The 19,630-nt window shown below is 50.0% G+C and overlaps 1 protein-coding gene across 5 annotated transcripts in view, besides 6 other annotated features; it reads left to right on the top strand.

Annotated features, from left to right (window-relative positions):
* CACNA1A (calcium voltage-gated channel subunit alpha1 A) overlaps positions 1–19,630 on the top strand; it is a 300,038-nt gene that overhangs the window by 214,439 nt on the left and 65,969 nt on the right. For all 5 annotated transcript variants that reach the window (NM_001127222.2, NM_001127221.2, NM_001174080.2 and 2 more), the window contains exons 20-24: positions 5,075–5,538; positions 6,835–6,973; positions 8,645–8,774; positions 14,913–14,972; positions 16,085–16,191. In NM_001127222.2, the coding sequence (NP_001120694.1) occupies positions 5,075–5,538; positions 6,835–6,973; positions 8,645–8,774; positions 14,913–14,972; positions 16,085–16,191 (900 nt within the window). The remainder of the gene's footprint in view (positions 1–5,074; positions 5,539–6,834; positions 6,974–8,644; positions 8,775–14,912; positions 14,973–16,084; positions 16,192–19,630) is intronic.
* Positions 14,230–14,399: an enhancer, noted in NCBI's record as "active region_14132". NCBI's record gives its function as "activates an Ori minimal core promoter by ATAC-STARR-seq in GM12878 lymphoblastoid cells {active_cell/tissue: GM12878}" and the evidence as "EXISTENCE:reporter gene assay evidence [ECO:0000049][PMID:35858748]".
* Positions 14,720–14,779: a silencer, noted in NCBI's record as "silent region_10205". NCBI's record gives its function as "represses an Ori minimal core promoter by ATAC-STARR-seq in GM12878 lymphoblastoid cells {active_cell/tissue: GM12878}" and the evidence as "EXISTENCE:reporter gene assay evidence [ECO:0000049][PMID:35858748]".
* Positions 15,838–17,037: an enhancer, noted in NCBI's record as "CDK7 strongly-dependent group 2 enhancer chr19:13385818-13387017 (GRCh37/hg19 assembly coordinates)". NCBI's record gives its function as "activates an origin of replication core promoter dependent on BRD2, BRD4, P300/CBP, MED14 and CDK7 cofactors, with strong dependence on CDK7, by STARR-seq in HCT116 cells {active_cell/tissue: HCT116}" and the evidence as "EXISTENCE:reporter gene assay evidence [ECO:0000049][PMID:35650434]".
* Positions 16,498–16,547: an enhancer, noted in NCBI's record as "active region_14131". NCBI's record gives its function as "activates an Ori minimal core promoter by ATAC-STARR-seq in GM12878 lymphoblastoid cells {active_cell/tissue: GM12878}" and the evidence as "EXISTENCE:reporter gene assay evidence [ECO:0000049][PMID:35858748]".
* Positions 16,568–16,637: an enhancer, noted in NCBI's record as "active region_14130". NCBI's record gives its function as "activates an Ori minimal core promoter by ATAC-STARR-seq in GM12878 lymphoblastoid cells {active_cell/tissue: GM12878}" and the evidence as "EXISTENCE:reporter gene assay evidence [ECO:0000049][PMID:35858748]".
* Positions 16,658–16,737: an enhancer, noted in NCBI's record as "active region_14129". NCBI's record gives its function as "activates an Ori minimal core promoter by ATAC-STARR-seq in GM12878 lymphoblastoid cells {active_cell/tissue: GM12878}" and the evidence as "EXISTENCE:reporter gene assay evidence [ECO:0000049][PMID:35858748]".

Here is a 19,630-nt window from a genome sequence, read left to right as displayed (position 1 = left end):
CAAAGGGAACTTTTGCCAAGACCTGCTCCACTCTAGAATTCTTATCTCTGCTGTTCGCATCCTAATTCCACCTGCATCTGTCACCATGACAACCTGCTCCCCAAAAGGAACAGGAAGAGAGATGCTGGACTTTTGAGCTCCACAGTTTATCCTGCATGGGGGTAGGGAGTGGTTAATTACTTAGCACTCTAATTCTTACGGTACCCCCAATGGGCCCAAGTTGGTTTTTTTAAAAAAAAACAGTCTTGCTCTGTTACCCAGGCTGGAGTGCAGTGGCACAATCATAGCTCACTGTAGCCTCAAACTCCTGGACTCAAATGATCTTCCCACCTCAGCCTCCCAAGTAACTGGAACAACAGTCTCGTGCAACTACGCCCAGCTAATTTTTTTTTTTTTTTTTTTTTTTTAGAGATGGGGTCTCACTATGTTCCCCAGACTGATCTCAAACTCCTGGGCTCAAGCGATCTTCCTTCCTCAGCCTCCCAAAGTGCTAGGATTACAGGCGTAAGCCACTGTACCAAGCTGCCCCATTAAAGCTTTGAACACCAGAGAGCCCAGCTCAGCTGTTTTCCAGCTGGGTAACTCTGGGTAACTTTGCCTCTCTGAACCTCAGTCTCCTCCTGTGTGAAATGGGGCTGATCACTATACCCATCTCGGATGGTGGTAGTTGCAGGGATTAAATGAGTTAATACGTGAGGTCCTTAGGACAGGGGGTGGGGACACGAGATAAGCAATAAACAGGAACTGCTGTTATTATCACCCCCACATAATCCGATCTCAGGGTCTGAGTGTGCCCCAGGCAAGGTGTCCACAGCCCTCTGCAGAAGGATGCCCAAGTGATCAGCTGGCACAAGAACGCCACGCACAGCAGGTGTTATGCAACTGGCCACCTATTCCAGGCAGAGGATGCCAGATCCCCAGGGAGAAGGGGGTAGGGGTGCAGCTTCAAAGTTTTCTGCCCCTTTTGAGTTCTCCTTGGAGACACTTTGGAAATGAAACCTCCCGGAAATTGATATTAGGCCTCTGCAGGCTGAGCTTGTTAAAATTTCCCAACAAACAGAGCCAACAGACGCTCTACAAGGAAGCAAAAACAAGACAAAACACATTGGCAGACCCTTTTCCATCTGCTCTTGGTAGATGGTATTCCTCTAAGAAAATGCCGCCACGAGTTTCTCCATGGCTTCTTGAGCTGGTGGCCAAAGGATTTAGGTTCTCTTTGAAATTATAACTTAACTGGGCCTGCTTTATGGCAGGGATATCACTCTCTGAAATGTGTATATATATGTGTATGTATATATATACACATATATACACATATACATACACAGGGCCAGGCGTGGTGGCTCACACCTGTAATCCCAGCACTTTGGGCGGCCAAGGCAGGTGGATCTCTTGAGCCCCAGGAGTTCAATACCAGCCTGAACAACATAGTGAGACCCTGTCTCTACAAAAATTAATAAAAATAACCAGGCATGGCAGTGTGTGCCTGCAATCCCAGCTACCCAGGGTGGGAAGATCGCTTGAGCCCAGGAGTTAAAAGTTGCAGTGAGCTATGGTCATACCACTGCACTTCAGCCTGGGCAACAGAGCAAGACCCTGTCTCTTAAAAATATATTATTATTATTATACACACACAGACACACACAGACACACACACACATTACAGATGATGAGAAAATACTCTCAGCCAGGTTTTCATGATACACAACTTCTCAAAAAGCATCACAAGCAGGTTAGAATTAGGGATTTCTTTGTGGACTGTCCAAGATGTTGAGGAAATATTGGTTTAGAATTTACCTCATTTAGGCCAGAAATGGTGGCTCACGCCTGTAATCCTAACACTTTGGGAGGCCAAGGCCAATGGATCTCTTGAAGCCAGGAGTTTTAGCCTGGCCAACATGGCAAAATCCTGTCTCTACTAAAACTACAGAAAAAAAAAAAAAAATTAGCCGGGTGTGGTGGCACAGGCCTGTAGTCCCAGCTACTCTGGAGGCTGAGGCAGGAGAATCACTTGAACCTGGGAGGCAGAGGTTGCAGTGAGCCGAGATCGTGCATTACACTTCAGCCTGGGTGACAGAGCAAGACTCCATCTCAAAAAATAAGATAGATAAGATAAATATATATAATATATATGTTATATATATAATATAGAAACTACAGAACAAGTGATCTTTGTATGTTTCCAGAATATAACAGCGGGACAGGCATAGGATAGACGTTCCCATTGCAAAAGGGAGAAATTGGAAGGGATAAAGAGGTCACCAGTCCTAAGCAAGTGCTAAATCCAGCAAGACAAATCCCATTAGGTTTCAAGGCCTGAGAATAATCCTCGGTGACTCTCAGCTCATTAACATACTTAGTTCTCAGAGCCAGACTCAATGAGGTTACGGCCCGCATGTTATGGGTCAGGAACTGAGGCTAAGTAACTCACTGGAGATTATGTGGTAAAGAAGGTCCAGGATCATTGCTTCAGTCTCCAGGATATGGGGAAGGTTCTACTCCTGTTATCCCAAATTTTAAAATGTGGGAACTAAGGCTCAGAGAGGTTAAGCAAATCACACAGGGTTGCACAGCTAGTGATGTTGCTGAGATTTCCCTGTGTGTAGTGGCTCATGCCTATAATCCCAGCATTTTGGGAGGCTGAGGCAAGAGGGTCGCTTGATCCCAGGAGTTTGAGACCAGCCTGGGCAATATAGTGAGACCTCATCTCTACAAAAAGAAAAATTAAAAAGTTAGCCAGGCGTGGTGGCAGGCACCTGAAGTCCCAGCTACTGGGAAGGCTGAGGTGGGAGGATTGCCTGAGCCTGGGAGGTGGCGATTACAGTGAGCTGAGATCGCGCCACTGCACTACAACCTGGGCGACAGAGTGAGACCCTGTCTCAAAAAAAAAAAAAAAAAAAGACATTGCCGAGATTCAAACCCAGGTCAGCCTGTCTTCTGAAATGTCCCTCTATGACCCACTCACAAAACTGAGAAGGCAGAAAGTTGCTTGGACCTGTCTATTTCCCCTGTGCAGTCTCAGAGAAACAGTGGAACTGCCTCGGTTTCTCCTTCCGGGAAGTATTCATAGAAGCATCCCACTTACCTACTTTGGTCTGAAAATAAATTAGCTTGTCTCTCTTCCACTTACTAAAAACACCGTGGGTTTTTGCAAGTTAAAATGCAAAAATAAAATGAGGAGAATGGTGCTGGTAGTTTAGCCAGTGGGAAGCCCTCTGGGGAAAGCCAGCCTTTTATTTATTACTTATTTATTTATTTATTCTTTCTAGATAGATTTATGGGAAACCAGGGCTGTGTTGTCCAGGGGTCTGTAGTCCAGAAGGCATCAGATGGGCTACTAAGTGAGTCTTTGTCCACCTGTAGATGGCAAGAGGCAGGGCCCAGGTGTCCATGGCTTGGAGAGGCAGGGGTTGATGGGAGGTTTGAGGCTGTGGGATCTCTCCTGGGGCCTCAGTATCCTCATCTGGATAATGGGGACATTCTGGCCAGGCACGGTGGCTCTATATATCCAGCACTTAGGGAGGCCTATAATCCCAGCACTTTGGGAGGCTGAGGTGGGTGGATCACTGTAGGCCACGAGTTCAAGCAGCCTGGGCAACATGGCGAAGCCCTGTCTCTACTGAAAATAGAAAAACTAGCTGGGTATTGTGGTGCACGCTGGTAATCCCAGCTATTCGGGAGGCTGAGGCACGAGGATCACTTGAATCCACGAGGCAGAGGTTGCAGTGAGCCAAGATCCTGCCACTGCACTCCAGCCTGGGCAACAGAGTGAGGCTCTGTCTCAGTTAAAAAAAAAAAGAAAAAAGAAAAAGAAAGAAAGAAAAAGAAAATGGGGGTATTCATTTATCATTTGACAGTAAGTTTACCCAGCATTGACTGTGTGAGAGGCCCTGTACTAGGCAGTGAAAACTCAGCTAAGAATAAGAAAGTTAAAAACAAGCTGGGCATTGTGGTTTACGCCTGTAATCCCAACATTTTAGGAGGCCGAGGAGGAAGAATCACTTGAGGCCAGGAGTTTGAGACCACCCTGGGCAACATAGTGAGACGCCAGTCTCTACAAAAAATTGTAAAATTAGCCAGACATGGTGGCGTGAGCCTGTAGCCTCAGCTACCTGGAGGCTGAGATGGGAGGATCACTGGAGCCCAGAAGTTCAAGGCTGCAGTAAGCTATGATCCTGCCACTGCTCTCCAGCCTGGGCAACAGAGTAAGACCCTGTCTGAAAAAAAAAAAAAAAAAGAGGCCAGGTGCAGTGGCTCACACCTGTAATCTCAGCACTTTGGGAGGCTGAGGTGGGTGGATCACTTGAGGTCAGGAATTCGAGACCAGCCTGGCCAAAATGGTGAAACCCCATCTCTACTGAAATACAAAAAATTAGCCGGTCGTAGTGGTGGGCACCTGTAATCCCAGCTACTCAGGAGGCTGAGGCAAGAGAATCGCTTGAACCTGGGAGCCAGAGGTTGCAGTGAGCCGAGATCACGCCACTGTACGACAGAGCAAGAAAAAAGAAAGAAAGAAAGAAAAGAAATAAGATGATGGGGAGTTGTGGAAACCTGTCCATGGGCACGTGAAGGTCTTGACCTCTGACCAAGAAGTGAACAGGCTCCTCTCAATTCCAGGCACTGCAGGGATCTGGGACATGACTTCTCCATGACCAAACTGTACCCTTTCCTTTTCTTTTTTGTTTTTTTGGTGACAGGGTCTCACTCTGTCACCCAGACTGGAGTGCAGTGGGGCGATCACGGCTCACTGCAGCCTCAACCTCCCAGGCTCAAGCAATCCTCCCACTTCGGCCTCCCAAGTAGCTAGAACTACAGGCACACAGCGCCACGCCCGTCAATTTACACATTTTTTGTAGAAATAGGGTCTCACTATGTTGCCCAAGCTGGTCTTGAACTCCTGGCCTTAAGCAATCCTCCTGCCTCCGCTTCCCAAAGTGCTGGGATTACAGGCGTGAGCCACTGCGCCCAGCCCAAATTGTACTCTTGAAAGATGGAATCTTAGCTAGGATCCTGAACTGTTGCCTTTTATCCTAAATCAGTTGTTGGTTCTTTTTCATTCACTTGCCTTCCTCAGAGAGAACCAGGGCTCCGGGGTCCCTGTGTCGGGCCCCAACCTGTCAACCACCCGGCCAATCCAGCAGGACCTGGGCCGCCAAGACCCACCCCTGGCAGAGGATATTGACAACATGAAGAACAACAAGCTGGCCACCGCGGAGTCGGCCGCTCCCCACGGCAGCCTTGGCCACGCCGGCCTGCCCCAGAGCCCAGCCAAGATGGGAAACAGCACCGACCCCGGCCCCATGCTGGCCATCCCTGCCATGGCCACCAACCCCCAGAACGCCGCCAGCCGCCGGACGCCCAACAACCCGGGGAACCCATCCAATCCCGGCCCCCCCAAGACCCCCGAGAATAGCCTTATCGTCACCAACCCCAGCGGCACCCAGACCAATTCAGCTAAGACTGCCAGGAAACCCGACCACACCACAGTGGACATCCCCCCAGCCTGCCCACCCCCCCTCAACCACACCGTCGTACAAGGTGAGACCCTCTGCTCTCACATCACTGGGCAGGGGACCTGGCGTCCCTGGAGCCAGAGGCTCTGCTGAGTGACCCTGGACTGTGACCCCATCTCTCTGGCCTCAGTCTCCTCCCCTGGAAAATGGGCATAGGCGTAGTTTCCTACCCCACAGGGCTGTGGAGGGTTCAGTGAGATAATTTGTGCACAGTGCCTGGCACGGGGTTGTGTTCAGTCGGGTTAGCAATATCTTCTACGTCCTTCCTTCCCAAGGGGAGCCAGGAAGCCACCCCATTTGAGGAGCAATAGGGTCCTCTGATGGAAGCTTGAGGGGGTCAGATGATTGATTCTCTCGGCCCAGCACTGTCCAAAAGAAATGTAACACAGGCCACATGCAAATGTCAGTTTAAACTCTCTAGTCGCCACATTAAAAAAGGGGCCAGATGTACTGGCTCATGCCTGTAATCCCAGTACTTCAGGAGGCCGAGGTAGAGTGAGCCAAGATGGCACCTCTGTACTGCAGCCTGGGTGACAAAGCGAGACTGTCTCAAAAAAAAAAAAAAAAAAAAAAAATGGTGAACTGCTGGGTGGATTATGTCTTAAGTTCATCTAGTGTCAGTTCTATGTGAGAGATTTTCATGAGTTTGCTGGATAAAGGCTTTCCATGGTCCTGAGACCTAAGATCCTAAGGTCTTGTCACTGTGCCCATTTTATAGATGTAGGGACTGAGGCTCAGAGAGGCTCAGCCTGCCCGTGGGCACATAAGCAGGCTGGGCTGCAGAATGGAAGCTCCAGAGGCTGATGGCTCCTCCCCCTGAGTCAAGAGAGGGGTGCTAATGGGGGCATGCCATGCAGTTTATGGGAGGTCTCAGTATTTCTATCTGTTCAGTGGGTCTCTTGGCACTCTCCCTACCTGCCTGCAAGTGAGGGTGTGAAGGTCCAACGAGGATAGGGGCAGGTCTGTGTTAATATCCCATGAGGGCCCCACCGCACTCAAGGCTATAGAGTGGTTGAGAGCAGGCTCTCGGGGGCCAGGCCGCCTGGGTTCCAAATGCCAGCTCTGCCACTTCCTGCTGTGTGACCTTAGACAAGTCACTTTACTTCTCTGTGCCTCAATTTCCTCATCTGTAAACAGGAGATCAGAATATATCAACCTCAGGGCTATACAAGGGTTCAGTGATGTCATAAGATGCCTGGTATATACAGCAGGCACTTTAGAAATGTCAGCCGCTTCTTGCCTGCCCTGGGAGTACACAGGAGTTCCCAGAGACTTGTGGGAAATTGTGGAGGGAGCCCTGTGTTGGTTCTTGTCCCAACAGTGAACAAAAACGCCAACCCAGACCCACTGCCAAAAAAAGAGGAAGAGAAGAAGGAGGAGGAGGAAGACGACCGTGGGGAAGACGGCCCTAAGCCAATGCCTCCCTATAGCTCCATGTTCATCCTGTCCACGACCAACCCGTGAGTATGGCCCCCAGCAAGGGCAGGGGGGGCCTGGGGCTCCCACCAGGGTGGCGGAAGTCAGGCCAGATAGAGGGCAATGAGTGAGTGTTGACCACCATGAGTCCAGGGATACCTTTGAACAAGTTGAAAATGGATGCTCCTTCCGTAAGTCAGGTAAGATGATTTGTCACAATATACTTTGTTGGAAGAGACCCCTGTCCTGCCATCCACTAGAAAATCATTGTTATTTATGACAATAAATAAACAAATTTGTCATAAATAAACAAATAAATTTGTCCTAAACAACAAATAAATTTGTCATAAATAAACAAATCTTCACTGTGATGTAAGAGGCACCCCCTTAGAAATGGCTGCCTTGTGCAGTACACAGCCTGAACAACTGCACGTGGCAGCCCTAGGACCTGAACTCTGTTTCTAACCTAGACTCTGTAAGGGTTTAGATTCTGGGCGGATAGTGTCTGAGTTCCATGGCCTTCTGTCTTGGGCATCTTTGAAATGGATAGACTATTTAGGGGAGAAATTTATCCCATGAATGTCGTAGTGGCTCGGAGGTTGTTTTAGAATTGAATGTCTCCCAGGGATATTTCTTGAAAGCCTGACCGCTCAAAATGCTTCTTGACAATGAAGGATCATGTCAGATAAGATGGGGGAGAAGCTGCTTTCTATAATCTGCCTCTTGGCAACTCACCCTGGGTAGTAATAAATAAAAGTACCTTTAAAGTACTTTTTTATTTAGTTGACTTATCGATTTTACTAAGGAAACACTTATGTGGTATCTACTCAGTGCCAGGCACTGTTCTGAGTGCCTTAAAATTTTTTTTAATTTCTCTGAGGTTGTTACTATGCTTAGCTCCATTTGACAGATGAAAAAACTGAGGTCCAGAGACGTGAATTCACCTGCCCAAGGTCACACAGCAAGCCAGTGGGAGAGCTGGAGTTTGAGCCCAGACACTGGCTCTAGCCTCCTTGTTCTTAACCACTCAGCTCTGCTGCCATTCACACAACCTTATGAACTATTTATTATTGGCTCCACTTATTAAGAGGTTAACTGGCACATCCCATTGGCACATTCAAGGCTCTGATAAGGCCTGCAATTCATAATTTCAATAACTAACTTTTTGGAGCCCCTATCATGAGCCAGGCATAAATTAAGTCTTGGGTCTCATGATTTTGTGAAGTAAGCACTAGTATTACGGCTATTTTACAGATGAGGGCACCAAGGCACAGAGGGGACAAGTAACTTGCCCAAGGTCACACAGCTAATTTTTAAAAAGAAAGAAAGAAATCTACTTAACCCATAGATTCACAATATTGTTTGGCCCTGGGACATTTAATATCGAAAAGCCTTTTTATCTCCTACAGAATTAAGGACCGTATTTCTTCAACCTAGCTTGGGGATCAAGATACTTCAAGAGGGTCGTTTGGGAGTGATAGGAACTTTGCTAAACAGGGCATGTGAATGTCTTCTCTCACCGAGGTCCCCTCTGCCTTCTTGGGGTTCCAGGACCCAGAGAGGGCCCCCACCTGGAGGAGTTTAATAGTTTGTTGTGTAGGAGGCCTTGGGGGTTGGAGATCTCAGTAGTGGTAGGTAACATGAGATTATGGAAGAAAAGGGTTTGTGAGCCTGTGGTCTGAGTGGACCTCTGCACGCCCATCTGTCTCCAACAGCCTTCGCCGCCTGTGCCATTACATCCTGAACCTGCGCTACTTTGAGATGTGCATCCTCATGGTCATTGCCATGAGCAGCATCGCCCTGGCCGCCGAGGACCCTGTGCAGCCCAACGCACCTCGGAACAACGTGAGTCCCACAGAGCACACCCCTTCCTAGCCTGGCTGCTCTGCCTCAGGCCACTTTCTCCTGCATCCAAAATGCTCATAGGTAGGGTGGGATGTTGGGGTCACCCCTAGGCATAGCCCTTATGGCTGCTGGTTGAGAGGGGAAGCTCTGATTCCTTGGGGATGCTCTTGGGAGCAAGACATTCCTTGAGGCAGTTTCTCTGTGAGCCTGGTGGGGTGGAGGTGGCCCAGAGTGACTGGGGCTGAAAATTGCTGGATTCTCTAATGGAGGCGTGAGACTAGCAGGATATGGATGTTGCACATTCTCTACATGGAATAGGGGGGTTACTGGGGCAGGGGCGGTGCTCAGAGGTGGTCCCCTCCGCAGTAGACATTTCCCTTTGTACACGAAGCTTTGAAAGAAACAACTATTTGGCTCAGAAACACAGCCTAAGCTTTTGGTTTTTATGAAAGCAAGCCCCTTTGCGGATGGTGGGTCTGTTGACAACCCCTGTTAATTGAGCACTTGCTGTGTCCCAGGAAGAAACTCAGCATGCAGTATCTCATTTAATCCTCACAATGCGCCCCCCCAACCCCCCGCCCAGGCATCCCCATTTGACAGATGGGAAAACTGAGGCTCAGGGGAATGAGAGAGTGGTAAGTGGCCTGTCCAGGGTCACACAGCAGAATTCCAACTCTGCATCCCCCAAAGCTCCCACTGCTTCCCCCAACTGTCTGCATTTACTAATCACCTACTGTATGCTACGGATGGGTGTGCATAGCCCCTTTGAGTCCTGACAAGCAGGAATGAGTGCATGCTTGTGGTTGAGATGGGGAAACCGAGGCACCAACAGGCAAGGGCGTGCCTCAGTCATGGGCTGCGGGCAGAGGCTTGACCCCAGGGCCTGGTAGAGGGTGGACTGGTGGCTCCTGTTTCCCTCCCCAGCTCCCTCCCCCAACCCTTCCCTCCCAACCCAGAGCCAAAAAAGTGTGTTTTCTGCTGGTCCAAGGCTCTGCTGCCCTGGCTAAGTAGGTTAGGACCCAGGCAAAGCTGGCGAGCCCCATCCCTCAAGCCCGCCCACAGCTTACCATGCACTTTCCCTTCCTTCCCAGGCCTGGCAGGCCCCCCTGGGGACCTGATGGGGGAGATGGAAGGAAATAATTAGAACGCAGCTCCTGGAGGAAGCTAGAGCCAGTGCTCAGCCTCCTCACAGTCCGCTTAGTTGCTTCCCGCAGCCTGGTTTCCCCCAGGGGCCTCCAGGAGCCAGGCGTGGGGAGGAGGTGTCCCTGGAGGGGTCCACAAACCCCCTGCTGACGCGAGGATGCTGAAGAAGGCGTTGCCTTCGGCAGGGAGGGCACAGGCATGGATGATCCAGGGGGCACGGCAGCTCCCAGGGCTGAAGGGAATCTAGGCAGTGCTCAGACCAGGCCCCAGGGACTGTTTGCAAAGAGCGTTCAGCTCCCCGGCCCCCTCCCTCGTCCATCTCGCAGTCGAAACTTCTCTACAAGAACACTGTGGCCCCATAACGTTCACACCACGTAACCACCATCCAGGGCAAGAAATAGAACAAAAACGCCCCACGCGGCATGTGCCTCCTCGATCCCCCACCCCCACCGCCTTCTTTCCCTCTAGAGCTGCTGGGGACACTGTCTGGAGACATTTTTGGTTGTCACGACAGGAGGGGGGAGGTGCTCCTGGCATCTGGTGGGTGGAGGCCAGGGATGTTGCTCAGCACCCGCCGATGCCCAGGACAGCCCCCACTCTAGAGGATGATCCAGACCCAAATGTCCACAGAGCCCAGCTTGAGAAACCCTGCCTTACCGGTAACCACGACCCCAGCTTCTGGAATGAGCGTTTTTGGCTTCTCTCTTTTTCCCACCTGCACAGGCTTTTTTTTTTTTTTTTTTTAAGAGACAATGTCTCTCTCTGTCGCCCAGGTTGGGGTGCAGTAACGTGATCATGGCTCACTGCAGCCTCAACGTCCCGGGCTCAAGTGATCCTCCCACCTCAGCCCCCCAGGTAGCTAGGACCACAGGCATGCACCACCACACCCAGCTAATTTTTAAATGCTTGTAGAAACGGGCCTCGCTATGTTGCCAGGCTGGTCTCGAACTCTTGACCTCAAGCAATCCTCCCTCCTCAGATTCCCAGAGCTCTGGAATTACAGGCATGTAATTCCAATTCTTACATGCCTGTAATTGGCCAACACTGGCCAATTCTTAAAAACTGAATTTATGTTTGCTCTTCTGTAACATTCAATAAATGAGACACTTCTATGCTTCGCATTAAATGAGTACATGTTGCTTTTGCAGGATTGATGGGCATTCTTTTTTTTTTTTTTTTTTTTGAGATGGAGTCTTGCTCTGTCACCCAGGCTGGAGTGCAGTGGTGCAATCTTGGCTCACTGCAACCTCCGCCTCCCGGGTTTAAGCGATTCTCCTGCCTCAGCCTCCAGAGTAGCTGGGACTACAGGCAGGCGCCACCACACCCGGCTAATTTTTGTATTTTTAGTAGAGACGGGGTTTCACACTATCAGCCAGACTGGTCTCAAACTCCTGACCTCAAGTGATCCGCCCGCCTTGGCCTCCCAAAGTGCTGGGATTACAGGCGTGAGCCACCACGCCCGGTCAATGAGCATTCTTTATGATGCTGTTTTGAGATTTACTGTGTGGCATGGGATGTGTTATCCATCCCCTGTTGACAGATGTTTGGGTTGTTTCTAAGTGTGAATACTGTCCCCATGCCACGCCCCTCAACATGTTTCCTGAGTCACCTGGACAGTAATTTCTCCAGGAGGCCAGATGCAGTGGCTCACGCCTATAATCCCAGCACTTCGAGAGGCCAAGGTGGGAGCAATGCTTGAGGCCAGGAGTTCAAGACCAGCTTGGGCAACATAGTGAGACCCCCACCTCTACCAAAAAAAAAAAAAATTTTTTTTTTTTTAATTAACCGAGCGTGGTGGTGCACACCTGTGGTCCCAGCCACTTGGGAGGCTGAGGTGGGAGGATCACTTGGGTCTGGAAGGTCAAGGCTGTAGTGATCCATGTTCATACCACTGCACTCCAACCTGGGTGACAGAGCGAGACCCTGTCTCAATAAATAAGAATTCCTCCAGGGTATAAACCAAAAGCGAAGTTTCTAGAGCATATAATTTGCAAGTGGTTGGCCTCAGTAAATGCAGCTTGAATGTTTATTGGACAATAAACACAGTGACCCTTTGGGAGGCCAAGGCGGGTGGATCACCTGAGGTCAGGAGTTTGAGACCAGCCTGGCCAACATGGTGAAACCCCGTCTCTACCAAAAATACAAAAATTATCTGGGCGTGGTAACACACAACTGTAATCCCAGCTACTCGGGAGGCTGAAGCACAAGAATCACTTGAACCCAGGAGGTGGAGGTTGCAGTGAGCCAAGATGGCGTCACTGCACTCTAGCCTTGGCGACAGAGCGAGACCCTGTCTCCAAAATATATATAAATAAATAAAAATAAACACAGTGGGCCGGGCACAGTGGGCCGGGCTCGCACCTGTAATCCCAGCACTTTGGGAGGCCAAGGTGGGTAGATCACGTGAGGTCAGGAGTTCGAGACCAGACTGGCCAATATGGTAAAACCTGGTCTCTACTAAAAATACAAAAATTAGCCGGGCGTGGTAGCATGCGCCTGTAATCCCAGACACTTGGAGGCTGAGGCAGAAGAATTGCTTGAACCCGGGAGGCAGAGGTTCCAGTGAGCCAAGATTGTGCCACTGCACTCCAGCCTGGGTGACAGAGTGAGACACCATCTCAAAAAAAAATTAAAAAATAAATGAACGCAGTGGCCCTTGCACCAGTAGCTCATGGGAACTCCTGTTCTTCCACATCCTTGTCAACACTTGGTACTGTCGACTGTTTCATTTGGCCGATCTGCTGGGTGTGGAGTGAGATCTTATTGGGGTTGTGCTTGGCATTTCCCTGTAATGAATGAGATCAAGCACTTTTTTGGATTAGACTGAGCCACAGGAAATAACATTTTCAAATAGATGAAAAAGATCTAAGTATTAGGAATACTTGAACCTAATTTATTGGTCTTTTGATTTCCTCTTGCACAGCTTATTAAGAGCTCCAGAATTAGATTCACCTGACCCCCACGGCCTGCCCTTTCCCAGCTCCCTCTCTTCCTTCTTTCCTTCCATTCATTCCTTTAGTAAGTATTTGATAAGCAACTACTATGTGCCAGGTACTGAGCGAGCCAGGGAGGATTGACAGGGTATGAGATGGTCCCTGCACTCCCAGAGCCCACAAACCACCAGGCCTTTGACCAGGCTGTGCCCACTGCCTCGTGCACCTGAAATACTCTCCCACCACCATCCCCTCTGCCCACCCAGGTCTTTCAAGCCAATCCCCTTGCACCAGCCCCTCCCTCCAGGAAGTCACCTCACCCTGACCCCAGGCACTCTGGTCTCTGATTCCTCTTCAAGCACCACATATAACAGGAATATAAGTTATAACCACACAGATCACAGAGCCCAGCTCCTCCAGGACCCAGTACAGCCCCAACTGTTGATGCATTCATTCAACAAACATTTCTTGAGCACCTACTGTATTCCTGACCCTGTATTATAAGCTGGAGACGCCATGGTGACAGACAGACATCCCTGTCCTTGTGGGGCTGACATTTGGGTGGGGGAGATGGACAATGAGATTATCAGTAACTACAACAAATGTTCAGGGAGTGATAAGTGGCCGGGGGTGTGGTGGGCAGAGGGAAGGAGAGACTTCGTAAAGAGGATCTCAAGCACCAGGAGATGGAATTTAAACAGCCGGTCAGGGGAGTCCTCACTGGGAAAGTGTTATTTGAGCTAAGTCATAAAGGAGGAGAAAGACGGAATCAAATGGGATGTGGGGGAAAGCATTCCAGAGAGACAGAACAGCCTGTGCAAAGGCCCTGAGGTGGAAGCATCTTGGGGAACAAAAGGAAGTGAGCAAGGGAGAGAATGAGAGGAAGTGAGGGCAGGGAGCTGAATGGTCAGATCGTGCAGGGGCTTGAGGGCCTCGGGGAGGACTTTGACTTTTATCCCTGAATGAGGTGGGAGCCACGGAGGATTGTAAGCAGGGGAAGGATGTGCCTGACTTCTTTGGTGTTCACAGCGCCCTCTGGTGGCCATGTTCAGTAATGCTCAGCCCTTGCAGCTTCTGGGTGGATCTGATTTTTTTTTTTTTTTTTTTTTTAGACAGTCTCTGTCTCCCAGGCTGGAGTGCAGTGGCACGATCTCGGCTCACTGCAACCTCCGCCTCCCACGTTCAAGTGACTGTCACGCCTTGGCCTCCCAAGTAGCTGGAATTACAGGCACACGCCACCATGCCCAGCTAATTTTTTATATTTTTAGTAGACACGGGGTTTTGCCATTTGGTTAGGCTGGTCTCGAACTCCTGACCTCAAGTGATCTGCCTGCCTCAGCCTCCCAAAGTGCTGGGATTACAGGCTCGAGCCACCGTGCCCAGCCGGTGTCCACCCCATGTCTAGCACCAGCCAGACACTGTGCCGGCGCACCCTCATCTTCAGGCCTGGGTGACACCAGAGGTGTGCTATGGTGTGTCCTGGACAGGGGCTGGGCCAGAGGACATTGCTCGTCCAGGCAGAAACATCAGGCCTGGGGAGGGGCACAGGAAAAATCAACCTACCCTGGCAGGGGCCTGGCCTTGAAGCAGGAAGAGATGCCGTGGCAGGAAGTTGGCCCCAGTGTTTAAAAAAACCACGTAGCAACTATTTCTCGCCCAGGATGCCCAGGAAAGCAAGGGTACTGGGGGATTAGATCCATCACCAAGAAGGATACAGTCAGCCCTGAACTTCTCTGGGGCCGCTTCTAATCCACTACAGGGCTTGGGGCAAATTTTAAAAGGTACCCTTCCCGTGGGTTAGCGAACTGGCCTAGTACAGTGATTTTTTTGTTAGGATTTGCTGCCATCTGCTGGACAATTTCATTCACAACATACAAATCTGCAGTATGAAAAGAGATGGGAGGGGCCCTTGTGCAGTGCACGCCCTGCGCAACTGTATATAGCAGCTGTGTTTCCTCTTCTGGGTAGAAACTCTGCTCCCCAGTAGGCGATCGTTAGTTTTACCGGGGCTCTGCTGGAACAGGCCAGTGATCCACTGCTCTCTTGCTTTTATCCCTTACAGGTGCTGCGATACTTTGACTACGTTTTTACAGGCGTCTTTACCTTTGAGATGGTGATCAAGGTGAGTGCAGATTATAAGTGAGAACACACGGTAATTTTTTTTTTTAAGCAAGTGCAGGGCTGGGCACAGTGGATCATGCCTGTAATCCCAGCACTTTGGGAGGCTGAGGCAGGCAGATCACTTGAGATCAGGAGGTTGAGGCCAGCCTGGCCAACATGGTGAAACCCCATCTCTACTAAAAATACAAAAATTAGCCGGGCATGGTGGCACATGTCTGTAATCCCAGCTACTCGGGAGGCTGAGGCAGGAGAATCACTTGAACCCTAGGCTGCAATGAGCCGATGTGGAGGCTGCAGTGAGCCGAGATCTTGCCACTGCATTCCAGCCTGGGTGACACAGCGAGACTCTGTCAAAAAAAAAAAAAAAAAAAAGAGCTGGGATTCCAGGAGATCCTGAGCCTCCAAGAATGCCCCCCTTGAGAGGATGAGTCTCCCAGAGGATTAGAAATGCCTGGTGTGTTTGAAGAGCAGCAAGGAAGCTGGTGTGGCTGGGCGGAGTGAGAGAACAGTGGGGAAACGAAGGACAGAGAGATGAGTGGGGAGGTGAGGGGGCACCTTGTGCCGGGGATCACAGAGAGGGCTCTTCGGCTCTTACTTTGAGTGAGGTGAGGGCCATAGAGTGTTCTGAGCAGAGGAGGGACTTGATCCAGGTGTTCACAGGTGCCCTTTGGCATCTGTGGGAAGCCAGAGGACCTGTGAGCAGGTGATCACACTGGTCCCCATGGGCGATGACGGGGACAGGATCAGGCTGGTGACCAAAGAAGAGGTGAGAAGTGGACAGATTCTTGGAAGGTTCTGGAAATAGAGCCAGTGAGTTTTGCTGATAGAGCCACCAATGAGGGATTTGGGACAAAGAGGCATCAAAGAGGATCCCAAAGTTTGGATCTAAGAGCCGGCAAGCCAGAGCTGGCTTCCATCAGGCAAAGGGGGGCCGCCTCATGGGGCAGGGGCTCCCCACTCCTCCCTGGAGTCCTCTGGCCACTGCCCATCCCTGCAAGATGAGGTGGCCTCATTGGCTTCCCTGCCTCTCCCCGAGAGGCTAGAGAGTGGGTGGCAGCACCCCAGGGTGGGGATCAGGTGGGGGTTCTGAGCACCCTCTCTTCTCCCCCACAGATGATTGACCTGGGGCTCGTCCTGCATCAGGGTGCCTACTTCCGTGACCTCTGGAATATTCTCGACTTCATAGTGGTCAGTGGGGCCCTGGTAGCCTTTGCCTTCACGTAAGTCTCCTCGCAAGGGTTCCTCTTGCCTCTTTTCCCCCAACCCCCAGCCTGGGCCACACATCGGATTACAGGACATGTTCTCAGGGTCTAGGGATGGGGTGTGTGGGCTCCGGGGACGTGGGAGATATCAGCATGCCACCAGGAAGAGCTTCGATGGCTTTTTGCATGATGTCCATGGAGGAAGAAGGAGAAGGGACCCCCCCTCCTGCCAACCTTCTACCTCCTCACACAGCAACGGGCCTCAGCCACATCACTGGCCCCTTGCTGTGCAGCTTCCTGTAGACTAGCCTCGCCGGAACATCTCATCCCCCTACTACTCCACAAGCGCCGCCCAAACCGCTGTCTCTTTGGAAAGTCCCTAAAGAGACAATCAGGAAACGAATGTGCATGAGAATTCTGACCCCCTCCCTATGCCTGAAGGCCCCGTAGTTGTAGACCTGGTGACTCCCTTTGTGTGTCTTTCACTTCTCCTGGCAGTCCTAGGATTCTCTGCCCTCTGAAAGGCCATGTGTCATCCTGCAGCTCCAAGATGGCGCCCCAGTTGTAGGCAGCCATTTCAGGATGGCACCCAAGCTCTTAGTAGTCATCCCAAGATGGCATCCAAGTTCTGGGTGGCCATTCCAAGATGGCCCCTGAGTTCTGAGCTATCATTCCAAGATGGCCTCTGAATTTGGGGTGGTCATTCTTAGATGGTCCCTGAGTTCCAAGGTGACCTTCAAGTTCTGGGTAGCCATTCCAGGATGGTCCCCAAGCTCTGGGTGGCTATTCCAAGATGGCCCCAAGTTCTAGGCAGCCATTGCAAGATGGCCCCTGAGTTCCAGGGTGGCCCCCAAGTTCTGGGCAACCATTCCAAGGTGGCATCCAAGTTCTGGGTGGCTATTCCAAGATGGCCTCTGATTTCTGGGCTACCATGCTAAGATGGCCTCTGGATTCTTGGTGGCCATTCTTACATGGTCCCTGAGTTCCAAGGTGGCCTTCAAGTTCTGGGTAGCCATTCCAAGACGGTCCCCAAGTCTTGGATGGCTACTCGAAGGTGACCCCCAAGTTCTGGGCAGCCATCTCAAGGTGGCACCCTAGTTCTGGGTAACCATTCCAAAATGGCACCCAAGTTCTAGGGCAACCATTTCAAAATGGCCCCCAAGTTCTGGGTGACTATTTCAAGATGGTACCCAACAGGTGAGTGGCCATTAGCCCTTAGGGCCCTGATAGCAGACTTAGCAGTACATTCCTGAAGTTGTAGACATTTGGAGCGGGATGAAAAATATCTAATCAGTCTTTAATCAAGAAACAAATCTTGGGGACCCTGGCTGTGCCCATCATGGTGAATGATTCCCTGACAGGTTTTGAAAGGATCTTGACACATTCACTCCCATCGTGAGAGAATCAGGGGCTTCCTCCTGTGCCTCTGCCTCTAGGCTCCCTCCTGAGCCAATCTGGAGGGGCCCTTGAATGGTCTCCCTCACCAAACAATGAGGACTTGGTTTGTCAGGAGGGCCAAAATAGTGGCCCATTTCCAGTAGAAGGGCTGTTAAGTAGGCCACACTTAGATTCTTCTCTGGGAACACAATGAGGTCAAGTTGTGTTAGAACAAAAAATCTCCAGAGTTTTTGGATGCCTCAGAGCTGGAGATGTATCATGAAGGTTGGGAGGCTGATTATACTTCTTTCTCTTTCTCTTTCACTCCTTCCTCCTCTTTCTCCTCTCTTTTTGTTCGTTTACTCTTTTCTTTTTCTCTTCTCCTCTCCCTCCCCACATCCTTCCCTCTCCTCAAAGCTTTTCAGTGTCTATTTGACTACTAGAGCAATGCACGGTGGCTTACACCTGCAATCCCAGCACTTTGGGAGGCTGAGACAGGCAGATTGCTTGAGCCCAGGAGGCCAAGACCAGCCTGGGTAACATAGGGAGACCCCATCTCTAAAAAAAAAAAAAAACAATTAGCCAGGCATGGTAGTATGCCTGCACTAGCAGCTACACGGGAGGCTGAGGTGGGAGAATTGCTTGAGCCCAGGAGGTTCAAGGCTGCAGTGAGCCGAAATCGCACCACTGCACCCCAGTCTGGGGAACACAGGAAGAACTTGTCTCAAAAAAATAAAAAGTTTAAAAAATTAAAAATCAATGAATTTGCTATTTAGAATATTATGCTTTATATGGTTACTGAATAATTTTAATAGTGATGAGTACAAAAAAAACAGGTTTAGCAAGCTGTTCTGTAGGTTAAAAAGTAAATAAATAAATAATTAATTAAACAAAATACAATGCACATCAAATTAGGGGACAAAGATTGTGACGAATAAGACAAGGAGTCCATGTCTTTAAAATATGAAAAGCAGTTACAAATCAATAAGAAACACTACTTCTCAATGGATAAATGGGCAAAGGACATAAACAGAAATCTGATAGAATGCTGGCAACTAGTAAAAATGGAGGTAAATCAACCCTTGGAATTCAGAGAAATGTAAAATAAAAACGAGATACAATTCATTCCCTATCAAGTTAGCACTGTTCCCGCCGCACCCCCACACACACACAAAAAATGATTTTTTTAGCTAATAAACAGCATATATAAGAATGTATTATAATAGGCTGGGCACAGTGGCTCACGCCTGTAACCCTAGCATTTTGGGAGGCCAAGGGAGGGGGATCACCTGAGGTCAGCAGTTCGAGACCAGCCTGGCCGACATGACAAAACCCTGTCTCTACTAAAAAATACAAAAATTAGCCAGGCATGGTGGCGGATGCCTGTAATCCCAGCTACTCAGGTGGGTAAGGCAGGAGAATTGCTTGGACCCAGGAGATGGAGACTGCAGTGAGCCGAGATCATGCCACTGCACTCCAGCCTGGGTGAGAAAGCAAGATTTTGTCTCAAAAATAAAAAAAGGAATGTATTATAATAAAATATACTTTTCTCCCCCTCTATCACCTATTTAAGCAGGTCCTTCAAGTTGTCAGGTAGACATCATGCTATGAGAAAATTTAAATCCTGAAAAGCCAGAATGTTTTACCACCCTCAGCCTGGAATGAATCCTTCTCCTATGGAAATAACCTACGGGTTTCTCCACCCCTCTCTGCCTTTCAGCCCCTTCCCTCCCTCTCCCCTCCTTTTCTTTCTCCCTCTTTCTCTTCCTCCTTTCCCCTCTCTTCCCTCTCTCTTCTTCCCTCTCTCTGTCTCTTTCTGTTCGTCTTTCTCCTTTTACCCCCTCTCAGTTTCTATCTTTTTATTTTCCTCTTTCTCTCTCTCTCTCCCTCTCTTTCTCTCTCACTCCCTGCACTGTTGATGACCTATGTCCTTGGGTGATGTGGGCCTCCCCTGGACCGTGTAGCTTGGAGAAAGCTGACCCTCTGTCATCGGTCTGGCAACAGGGACTTGGCCCCCCTACCCTGCATTCTGATGAGGAATGGTATTCAGACAAAGGCAGATCCCAGGACACAGGAGGAC

The sequence above is a fragment of the Homo sapiens genome, chromosome 19 (assembly GCF_000001405.40).
Source record: "Homo sapiens chromosome 19, GRCh38.p14 Primary Assembly".
NCBI lineage: Eukaryota > Metazoa > Chordata > Mammalia > Primates > Hominidae > Homo > Homo sapiens.
Note: the sequence above shows the minus strand (reverse complement) of the source record. Positions and strands in the feature narration are given on the sequence as shown.